The sequence below is a fragment of the Homo sapiens genome, chromosome 8 (genome assembly GCF_000001405.40).
Source record: "Homo sapiens chromosome 8, GRCh38.p14 Primary Assembly".
Classification (NCBI taxonomy): Eukaryota; Metazoa; Chordata; class Mammalia; order Primates; family Hominidae; genus Homo; species Homo sapiens.
Window position 1 is genome coordinate 65,006,378 of NC_000008.11, and position 11,758 is coordinate 65,018,135.

At 40.8% G+C, this 11,758-nt stretch overlaps 1 long non-coding RNA gene across 2 annotated transcripts; it reads left to right on the forward strand.

Moving 5' to 3' along the window:
* The first annotated feature begins 530 nt into the window (after window positions 1-530).
* Window positions 531-11,438, forward strand: LOC105375880 (uncharacterized). 2 transcript variants are annotated; one of them, XR_928993.2, is made up of 4 exons: window positions 531-599; window positions 9,172-9,325; window positions 10,868-10,941; window positions 11,272-11,438. It is a non-coding gene; the product is annotated as an uncharacterized LOC105375880 (long non-coding RNA). The 2 variants fall into 2 exon arrangements; XR_928994.2 differs by having other exon boundaries at window positions 9,172-9,250.
* The last annotated feature ends 320 nt before the right edge of the window (window positions 11,439-11,758 follow it).

Sequence of the window (11,758 nt, forward strand, 5' to 3'; positions counted from 1 at the left end):
TAAACTCTTCATGAGAATTTTTTTTGCTTTTTGTTCTAAACTAATTTCAACTTAATCCTTTTTGTGTTAAAAACTCTCTAAAGTGGCCACTGAAATTTCAAACTGTCCCTAGTATTCCTTAGAGAAATATGTATAGCAATTATATTATTATGAGAAAACATGGAGGGAACAGGTGTTTGCCCTGGAAGAAGCAGGAGTTTAGATTAAGAAGACCCCATCATAACCATCAGGACCAAGGATAAAGCTATAATTGCTAAGGAAGCTGTAGTTATATATAATAGTTATGATATAAATATATTCAATTATTTTGGAAGTTTGACATTTTTCCTGTTTTGTCTGTGTTGAGACATAACTTTGGTGTGTGCTTGTTTTTGTCTTGATCTATTATGGTTACAGAGTGGCTTTAATTGAAATTGGTGTTCTGTAAAATTGTTATGTTTAACTAGAGAACACCAAGGCCTAGCTATGAATGCCAGGCCAGCTCCTAGCAACACTAGAACCTAACTGATGGTACCCAGCATAAGCTAGACTGGGAGGTGGGTGGCTGCACACTCAAAACTGGCTTCCAACGGGACACAGACATCAAAACAAAGAAGAGGGTATGGTATGCAAACGAAGTTGAGGGGCAAGAAACCTAACTTATGTGACATCTAGATCCCTTCTCAAATCTTTTGTCTTAGTCTGTCTGTGCTGTCTCTTACAAAGTGCCATCAACTGGGTAGCTTATTAACAACAGAAATTTATTTCTTACAATTCTGGAGACTGGGAAGAGCAAGATGTTGGCAGATTCAGTATCTGGTGAGGGCCTGGTTCATAGATGGAGCCTTCTCTCTGTGTCCTCAGATGGCAGAAGGGCAAAGAGGTCTCTTTGGGGCCTCTTTTTTATTTTTATTTTTATTATTACTTGTTTGAGACGGAGTCTTGCTCTGTCGCCCAGGCTGGAGTGCAGTGGCGTGATCTCGGCTCACTGCAAGCTCCGCCTCCAGGGTTCACACCTTTCTCCTGCCTCAGCCTCCTGAGTAGCCCGCCACCACACCTGGCTAATTTTTTGCATTTTTAGTAGAGATGGGGTTTCACCGTGTTAGCCAGGATCGTCTCGATCTCCTGACCTCGTGATCCGCCCTCTTCGGCCTCCCAAAGTGCTAGGATTACAGGCGTGAGCCACCGCACCTGGCCTGGGGCCTCTTTTATAAGGGCATGAATCCCTTTGATGAGGACTCTACCCTTGTGACCTGATCACCTCCCAGAAGTCCTACGTCCTAATACTCCTCACCTTGGAGGTTAAGATTTCAACATATAAGCTGGGCACTGTGGCTCACACCTGTAATCCCAGCACTTTGGGAGGCCGAGGTGGGTGCATCACTTGAGGTCAGGAGTTCAAGATCAGCCTGGCCAACATGGTGAAACCCTGTCTCTGCTAAAACTACAAAAATTAGCTGGGCATGGCGGTGCATGCCTGTAATCCCAGCTACTCGGGGGGCTGAGGCGGGAGAATCAGTTGAACCGGGGAGGCGGAGGTTGCAGTCAGCCGAGATAAAGCCATTGCACTCCAGTCTGGGCTACAGTGTGAGAGTCCATCTAAAAAATATATGTATATTTTAACATATACATTTTTGGGGAACACAAACATTCAGACTATAGCATCCTGAGAGAGACTTTTTATTTCCCTGAAAATCTAGTCAAATTTCTTTTTGTGGATTATAACAATTGTGAAATTGACTATGCCTCCTTTTACAGTTTGACTTTCAGATAGCTCAGCCAGATACATCCTCCTAGTCTGTACCTCCTTTTCTAATTTATATTTTCCCTCCTTATTTTATCATTTATTTTACCATTTTATGGTATGCTTTTCTTCAAATCTTATATGGAAGAAGGTACCCATAAAAAAACCGATCAACTAATTATAATTTTGTAAAAATCGCCTCCTCTTCATGTATATAAGACATTAAATAGTGTAAAAGTAATAGATAATATAGGCACAGTGAGCAAAGATGTCACCATTTAAACATAAAATCGATTGGCAATGACTGGAAAACTCTCTTCAACTCACTAAACTCTAAATCCAACCTTATAATTAATTGCAATTTTGAAATTATCTGGAAAATATTATTTAGAAAGAAGTTTGAAGAATGTTAGCTGCATTCACACATGTGAAATGCTTATTGCTGACTGTGTAAAGTACTGTGCTTGGCATTTGAGACAGCAGGGTGTATTGGTCCATTTTCATACTGCTATAAGGAACTGCCCGAGACTGGGTGATTTGTAAAGAAAACAGGTTTAATTGACTCACAGTTCAGCATGGCTGGGGAGGTCTCAGGAAATTTACAATCTTGGCAAAAGATGAAGGGGAAGCAAGGCACTTCCTTCACAGGCAGCAGGAAGGAGAAGTGCTGAGCAAAGAAGAACGCCTTATGAAACCATCAGATCTCACAAGAACTCACTATCATGAAAACAGCATGGTGGAAACTCTCCCCATGATTCAATTACCTCCACCTGATGTCTCCCTTGACATGTGGGGATTATGGGGATTACAGTTCAAGATGAGATTTGGGTGGGGACACAAAGCCTAACCATATCACAGGGTTTCAAAAACTGAAGATTGAAACCCCTCCCTCAAAAGGTTTGCAGTCCACCTGGAAAACACCCACCATATTACTTTGGAGAATGATGGTGATTTGAAGCCGACTTTGTTTTTGGTGGACTGTGTTTCAAATCAGTGTAACTTTGCTCCTCCTGAACAAGGCACAGGTCTTTCTCGGCAGTTAATGTAATACCTTGTACATAGTGTGTGGTCATCAAACAGCTGTGGGTTGGATGTGGGGCAGACATCTACTGCACTGACAGCTGAAGCTACAAAATGCTGAAGTTAGGTTCTTCTTTCTGTTTAAACATACTTACTAAGAATTATTCACATCTTGTGAGACAACTTCAGGGCTTTCAACTCTATCTTCCCCTGAGAAATCCTGAGAAGTAATTAAATAAATAGAATATTGCCAGCCACACAAATTCTGTGAAGACAGAGAAAGATTATTTTGTTCATTGAGCTCTAGCCTAGAGGGGCAACAACACGCTCACACCTTCTTACCAGCAGCAATAAATTGGCAGCCTCAACCTATTATAATTCTCTTGGGTGGGTGCTGTCATAAATTCAGTACTTGGATGTAAGTTTCTTCTGTGGAAATGTAACTGGAGAACTAAGCTGCTATATCAGGCTCAAAATGTAGAGTTTTCCTTCAGAGACTTTAACTAGTTCATTTTCATTTTGATGAATACCTCAGGGAAAACTGAAGATAATAGAAAATAAGAAAATGAATTGTATTTTAAAAATAACTACAATGGGACTCATACTGGTGGTGTAATTGCTTGGGGCTGATAGAATGAGACTGGCAGCATTATTTTTCTATCTTGAGACTGAGACATGATGTGCCATTGGGGCATACTTCGGCAAAGAGAGACAGTAAATGAGGCTCACTAGAACTGAACAGGTTTGACAGACAACTATGGAGGTTCTACTAAGCGGCCAAAGAAAGTGTCCAAGGGATATAGCAAGCTCAGTCATAACTCAGGCAACAAGGAACATTGCAGTTTGTAGAAGTGGCAGCAAGGTCCCAACAAGGAAGTGTGGTCCATGAATGAGAATCAATAAAAGGCAGTCACCATCCAGATTCAACTGTAGAGCAGCAGCTCGAGTTACTCAATGAGTGCTCAAAGACAAATCCTGAACTGTTGAAGCAAAAGTGAGACTTAGAAGCAGGAACCAAAGCCGCAAGCCTTACCACTGGGTACATGTGGGTGGGGAGAGTTGGGACTGAAAAGGTGGTAAGAGGACCGCTGGTCAGCCCTGGGACCCTGGAGTACCTTGATTTGGTGGCTGCTCACTACTCTAACATGGGAGAGCTAAAGTTATGTGAATACAGTTCTTTGGACATTATGATTGCCTCTGGCAACTGGGCAGAGCTACACATTCTAACGGCGAGGCTAAGGCTTAGAAAATGAGATAGGGACTGAAATAATGTAACTCCTGTAGCTAGAATGGTACTCATCTATTTTAAAGGACCTCATATCCCGTGAATTCTACCTACTCCCTGCCACCCACACACAGCACCACAAGTCTTGTAAACAAAATAAGAAAACAGAATTACATTGTTATTCTTTAATATCTTCAGAGTTTGAAAATAATATTTTGACAAATATCTCCTTGAAAACATATATTCTGAAGGAGTAGAGGTTGGTTTTTATATTTCTATGGCATTGATTTCTTCTTACAATATAAAAAGACCAAATAGCCAATAGAGATGATAGAGATTAGTTGCACTATGGAATCAACTGGTGTTAAGAATCAAGACCTCAGGTTTGAAATCCAGCTTCTCTGCTCATTTTGTGATGTTGAGTAGGTTACCCAATATTCAAATAAATAGTGACCAAATCACTAAGGTTAACAGAGCCAGGAGAAAGATGAAATATAAGATTTAAGCATTGCATGTAGCTATAAGATGTTGGGTACAGTATGATGTATCCATAAACTGCAAAGTCCTGTTTAATGTACTAAATCTGTGAAATTCAGATACAGTAATAAAGTATGCTATACTTGGTTTCTCTCTCTCTCTTTCTTTCTCTCTTTCTCTATGTCTCTCTGTTTGTCTCTCTCTCTCTTTCCCTTCCTTCCTTCTTTCCTTCCTCTCTCTCTTTTTCCTCCCTTCCTTCCTTCCTTCCTTCTTTCTTTCTTTCTTTCTTTCTTTCTTTCTTTCTTTCTTTCTTTCTTTCTTTCTTTCTTTCTTTCCTTCTTCCTTTTTCTTTCTTGGCAAAGTCTTGCTCTGTCATCCAGGCTGAAGTGTAATGGCATAATCATACTTCATTGCAGCCTTGACTTCCTGAGCTCAAGTGATCCTCCAACCTCAGCTTCCCAAGGAGCTGAGAATACAGGCATGTGCCACCACTCCTGGCTCAGTTTTAACTTTTTTTTGTAGAGACCGGGTCTTGCTATGTTGCTCAGGCTTGTCTTGAACTCCTGCCTCAAGAAATCCTCCTGCTTCTTCATCCCAAAGTGCTGGGATTACAGGTGTTAGCCACTGCCTTGCCTGGCTTATTTCTTAATGACTTAATTTATCATTAGCAATGAGCTAAAATATCAATCTTAGAGATGCTTTCTCCTTCATCACCAATTCACCATGATGCTGACTGGAAGCAACTCAAATTTTGGTTTGAGGTAGATCCAGATTTGAAAATCTATCCTGCCTTTTCCTAACTATAAAAATCTGGACAAGAAATTGGATTTCTCTACACCTCATTTTTTTTTCCTGCTAAAGACAGATTAAAATAGCTATCTCATAGGGTTGCTATAAAGATAAAAAATGATATCTGTATAATACCTAGCACACATAGTAGATGCTTAATAAATGTAATTATTATCAGGGAGAGAAAATAGGACAGAGTAGCAGAAGAAAATGAGATTAAGCCCTAGGTTAAATCCTGTCTTTGGCATTTAGTAGTTTGAAAAGGTTAAGACACTGAACTTAAGAGTACTCATCCTAAAAATGGAAAGGCCAGGTGCAGTGCCTCACAGCTGTAATCCTAGTGCTCTATGAGACAGAAGCAGAAAGGTTGCTTGAGGCCAGGAGTTTGAGGCTGCAGTGAGCGATGATCTCACTCATCACTGCACTCCAGCCTGTGTGACAGAGCAAGACCCTGTTTCAAAAAAGAAAAAAAAAATAGAGATGATAATAGTCACCTTACAGCCTTTTTTATTTGTTCAAGCAATGCACCTGACATAATTTGTATCACTTAGTAGCCCTCGATAAATGATTATTAGCATTAACTTATTATTATATTGAGCTTCCCAATGGGAACCCCAGTAAAACATATTTAATGACTTCCTATATTAAAAAATGTTTACCTTATTTTACCTGCCTTATTTGACTTTATTTCTCAATTTGATTTCCTCACTTTATCCTGATTCCTACAGTTTAAATAAATGTCAAATGAACTATCAATGAAAAAATTATATTAAAAAATAATGTTGAATCCAAATTGGAAACGTCTATTCAGTAAATTGGGTTAGGTAGGTAAGATTCTGGCTTCTCTTTGTTTGCCAAAACAAACAAACAAACAACAACAACAAAACAAGGTTGTATTTTGGCTTCAGAAAGCGAGATCCTGCAGTTAAGACAGGATAGAGATAGGCTTTAAAAGCTAAATGAAATAAATAGTCTTGTAAAGGAAAAAAAAGGGAATTTTTCATGAGTCCCTGGAAGCCAGCGAAAAAGCATCCGAGCTGTTGTTTTCAGTAATAACCATGATTACTTGGTTAAAATACCCTGTACGAGACACTTCCTGTGCTTTCAGTGCCTCTACAAGGAAAATTAAAACAGAACACACAGCATTGGGGCCAATATGTTTCCAAGGAAGTCAATTATTAATATACTATTTAGTTTTTAATGAACTAAGCCTATGTATGTGGAGCGCTGCAAAGAGATCTCCATACCAGCCGAGAACAGGTGTTGGTATAAGCTTTGCCCGTATGTTTACCAACTGATTAGCACCCATTAAAATGATAATAATCTAATAAAAATTACTTTACATCCAGTGAAAGTAGAAACTCCCCTGTGTGTCGGAAAATGATTTTATGCCCATTGCCATGGCAAAAATAGGACTGAAGTAACAAGAATCCATACCCAAGGCACCCTGAATATTCTGAGTTTCTAGAGTGCAGACTTTTCCCTGTAAGCCTCCCTTTCTCCAAAAGGCTGTCCCAGGCAGTCAGGACAGTTTAGTTATTTTTGTAGCTTCCAGGGAAGGACAAACAGTCATCCACTCACCAACATCCTCTTTAGCATGAGGAAAAGAAATCAGATGCTTAGTAAACAATGCCGCTTTGTCTGCCGTAGGAGACTAGAAGCCTGGGTGAAGCCATGGGTGTCCTTGGGAGACATCCTGGGCCTGAGTTGAGGAAACTGAGGAAATGCCAAGCCTTCCTTCAGCTGGCAGGTTCCTAGCAAATTCCTGATTCCAGGCTGCTCATAGCAAACACTGGGATGAATGTGAAGTCAGATGATCCCCATCTTCACAATTTTTACCATTTCTTATGACAGGCTCTACTCACTGTTTCAACTGAGCCTGGAAAACTTTCCTTTTGCCTTCCACCAAAAGCCGAGCCCAGAAAATTGTAAGAATTTAGTTACAATGTAGTGTAAAAATTGAAAACTAAAAGATCTTTGCATTGTAACCAGAACCAAATTCATCTAAGCTAACAGATTAAACACTGTAGGAAATTAAGGCAAGTGGCCAAGTACAGGTCACAGCTCCCAGGTATTCACCCTCCTCATCTACCTGTGAGGTTTCCAGGTCCCTGTTTACTACACAATGGAGTGTATGCCTTAATTCTCCCTGATTGCTTCCCAAAAGCCATGATGGAAACAGCAGAAAGAATGAATTTTGGAGTTAGTAGTGAAGGTTTCCATTGTTTTATTTTAATAGTGATGGGCTCCCTATTGATATTTGGGCTATAGAAAGGAGGCACAGGGAGAAAAACCAAAGGATTTCTGGAAGTGAAGATTTTGTAGAAACTGTGAATGAGAGAGAGCAGCTCATTACTAATGCCAAATTCCGCCCTTTATGTATATGCCTTGCAATATTGAGGCTGCACAATATTTAATCGCTTTATACTTCTGATTAGCATAAGGGCAAAATGAGTTAAAGGCTGTTTTGGTAAATGAAAAGTTTCCTATTTAAAATAAAATGTCTACCCCTGGTTGGGGTAGAATAGGGTTCTTTGCAAAAGAAGGGTTTGGCAGGTATCAGATAAAGACAAAGAAGGGCAAGGTGAGCAGAATTCTTCTGTTGAACTATCTGGCTTCTCTGAGCTGCTACAAGAAACAGACATGAAAGAAGAAATCACAAGATTACCTGGGTCTCCAGGCAACCAAGCCATAACCTCCAGGCTAAACATTTTCTCAGAAAGGACTCAGCATAAATTTGCTCCATACTGTGCATGGACGTGTGCTGTACCAAAGTCACCATGCTGACAGAAAAGCATTGCTGTCATTTCTATGAAGAAAACTTTGAAACTTCATGGTTTTTCTTTGCCATGATTGGTGGCTTTTAACATTCAGTGAAAACTTCTTGTTCTAGCCAGTGGACTTGAAAATTGGTGCTTGGATTGGGAACCAAGAAGATATAAATCCCAAGACTGTAAATTGGCCACGTTGGAAAACACACTTTAGAAAGTATGACTAATGACTCTATTGTATTCACATTTCTTTATCTTTACCCGGAGGAGAGTGAGCTGCCACCAATTAACAGTTCTCAGAATGAAATGGAAGCTCCACCTGGCTTCAGAAAAGCAGCTGAGCAGGATTGGGGCAAATCTGGGGTGAATGATTACAATAGCAGGAAATGCAATGTAAAATTAAATCCTATCTTCTCAGCATGCAACCAGTTCAAGTCTAAACTTTTATCTCCCATTTGTGGCATTTTGGGAAAATTTATACAAATAAGTCTCCAAGAGGTCTATTTTTATTTGTTATCTGTCCAGTATATTTAGGTGAAAATACAACCACAATAAAATCCCAACGTGAGCAATAAACCCTCAAATCTCATTAAAAATAGAATTTGTTTTACCAAGGGATATGACAGAGTGATGACTTTATTACTTTGTGAGAGGCCAGAGGATGGGTAAGGAAAAGGGTCACCTCAAGGGATTGTATCTGTCATCTAGGAGATCTTGAGTCCAGGGAGAGCCAGTGAGTCTGTGATCTTTCTCACCAGACCAGGTCTACAAGTACAACATGGTAGGGCATACTTGACTGTCTGCTGCTGGCCCTTTATGCAAAACTAACCCACCCATAGGCTGTACTATGATTCGCTCGCAAAGGCACATACAAATTGAACCCTGGAAACCACGTAATTCCTCTAGGGCCCACCCCCCACTTCCTACTGCCCACTCCCCACCTCTGCCCCTGCCACAATGGCTTCTCACGTGTTATTACTTTTCAGGGGCCATATTGCAAATTCAGTGGCCTGACTTACTAGTGGCTTCTGGATTTCTTGACCTTCACAGTGTGGACACCACTTCTGACTTGTTAGAGCTTAACACTCCTGCCCAGCTTTTGCTCTTGTTTATATCTGTATTGGCGGTCTTAATGAGACAAGAAATTTTCCTTGATCCCTTTGCAGGCCTCACGACAGGGTTGCCTTGCTTACTCAGCCCACAGCTCTCAAACCGTTGCGCGAGGAAGAGCACGCAGGAGAACAGGTGCAGGAGCCAGAGCAAGACATTTAGGCACTGACGGGAACAAAACTCTGCAGCCCTGTGGCAGTGTCTAAGGAGGTACCCATGACTCCTGAAGCTCCAGACGGCATGTGTGACAGTGCTCTGTTAGCTTTGCTGTCCACTTACGGCTGAAGTGTTAAACAGCTCAGTGGGCCCTCTGCCTTTTCGCGAGGGCAGAGGGTCAGTGCGACAGCCTTTAGCATCCACACCCATGGCATCCAAACTTTTGTTTGTCATCCAGGAAGAATCAGGTCACATAAACAAACTGAAGGGTGGTGAATATGGAGGATTTTATTGCCAATGAAAGTGGTTCTCATCAGGGCCATGGGTAGTTTTAGAAAAGGCAACATTCGAGCGGGAAAACAGGAATGTGTGTTCTCACTTTGGGCTGTAGCTCCAGGCTTGAGGGTGGGGCTTTGCCAGGGACCCGCCTTTCTCTGTCTAGAATTTCTGTGCCTCCTGCCCCTATCATTTGTAGTTTTAATTAAGTTCACCCAGCCGGGCCCGGTGGCTCATGCCTGTAATCCAAGCACTTTGGGAGGCCCAGGTGGGCGGATCACGAGGTCAGGAGATTGAGACCATCCTGGCTAACACGGTGAAACCCTGTCTCTACTAAAAATACAAAAAATTAGCTAGGCATGGTGGCGGGTGCCTGTAGTCCCAGCTACTCAGGAGGCTGAGGCAAGAGAATGGCATGAACCCGGGAGGCAGAGCTTGCAGTGAGCCGAGATCACACCACTGCACTCCAGCCTGGACGACAGAGCGAGACTCTGTCTCAAAAATAAAATAAAATAAAATTTTAAAAAGTTCACCCTAGTTCAGCCTCAGGCCTCAGCCATTTCTGAAGTAACAGAGTTGCACAGATATGACATAGATTTGCCTCCTGATGTAACCACAAGGTTTTGGGCAAGGTCTGGAGACCAGTTGGGTAACATGGTGGCTATCATTAATGTTGAGTATCACACCTCCCATAATTTTGCTTCTAGAGGTGATGGAAGAGGGGCACTTGACTCTCCAGGAAACCAAGGGTAATTGTAAAAAGCAAGAATTAAAGACACAGCCTCTTCTTTGGCCCTGACAGTCAACTAGAACTGTCACTGGGATTAGCAGAGTATCATGACAGAGAGTTCTTTTTGTTAGATGGGTCAAGCTGTTGTCACAATCCAAGTGAAACTTAGAAGTCAGCTGTCTCCTCAACTTGACTTGGGATAGGACTTTGTAACTCTATGCAATCTCCATAAAGAATTCACCACCCCACAAATCAAAAAATTATCTGAAGATTTTATCAGGGAGATCAGACGTCCAACAGTAAATTTTTTTAAAATGCTCATTAGGCATGTTTTTTTGCCAAAACTTTGTCTTCCTTGCTTGCCCTCACCAAAGTTTTCCACTCTATTCTTCCATCACAAGGAGGCTGGGCTCCCATCCTCCTCTATTTATGTTGCCATTACCAAGATCAATCCCACTTCAGAGGCAATGGTGAGTTATAAACAATAGCTGCAACAAAACAATTTGTGTTACATAAGAATAAAATTCTTAAGCGAGAGAGATGAGTATTTCCATATTCATGATACCACTTACTTCTCACTCTAACCCTAGGATGCATGCATTATTCTCCACGACTGATACAGAAGTAAATTCCAGAAAGCTTTAAAGTCAGTTTGTATAAAGAGGTGAGATACAACCCCAAATCACATGGCTCCAAGTCAGGGTTATTTCTGTGGAGTCAGGTACTCTTGGATGCTTAACATCTAAGTGGGGGAAAGGGATTGTTAGCCCTTCATGATCATTTTAATCACAAAAAAGATAACAAATTTTGACCAAAGTGAGTTTAGAGGCCTTGATTTGATCCAGTTATCAGATTTCCTGAAAGGGTGTGTTCTGCAAAAAGAAATACCAAGACAAAGGAATTGAGAAACTCCTATCTAAGAAAGAAAATGAGACCGTCACACACGGTATTTTTCTACAATTTTCTTATCTTATTCAACTCATTTTGTTAACAGAGGTTCTCTTTGACTGTGAAACAGAAGAAAATCTTTCCTTAACAATAACTTACACGTGCCATGAAAGAGATGAAGCAGAAGATTAAGCAGGAAACCCAGCTACTTTTTTGCCCTAAGGCATTACTCATTTTCCTGACACATTATGTTTTTAATTAAAATTACATGTGAGTTAATTAAAATGCTCACTCGGGCACTTTCTTCCCTTTTCTTGCATAGATTCCTTGTTACTCGTTTAGCTTTTTGGTAAAATTCAGTTTCATTTTAACTCTGTTGCCTTTATCAACTAAAACTTTAGCAGAGTCTGTATACTAAACTAATTTTTTGAAAAACCTAATTTGAAAAACTTATCCTTAAGCGACCAGGGAAAACAGAGGTAGCTAGGGGCAGAATCATTCTGGCTCTTGCATTCTTCTCTAGTTATTTAAGCAAAAAGTATGCAACTGGCATTAATAGAAAGTATATCTAAAAGGGAACTGTGATTTTTCTT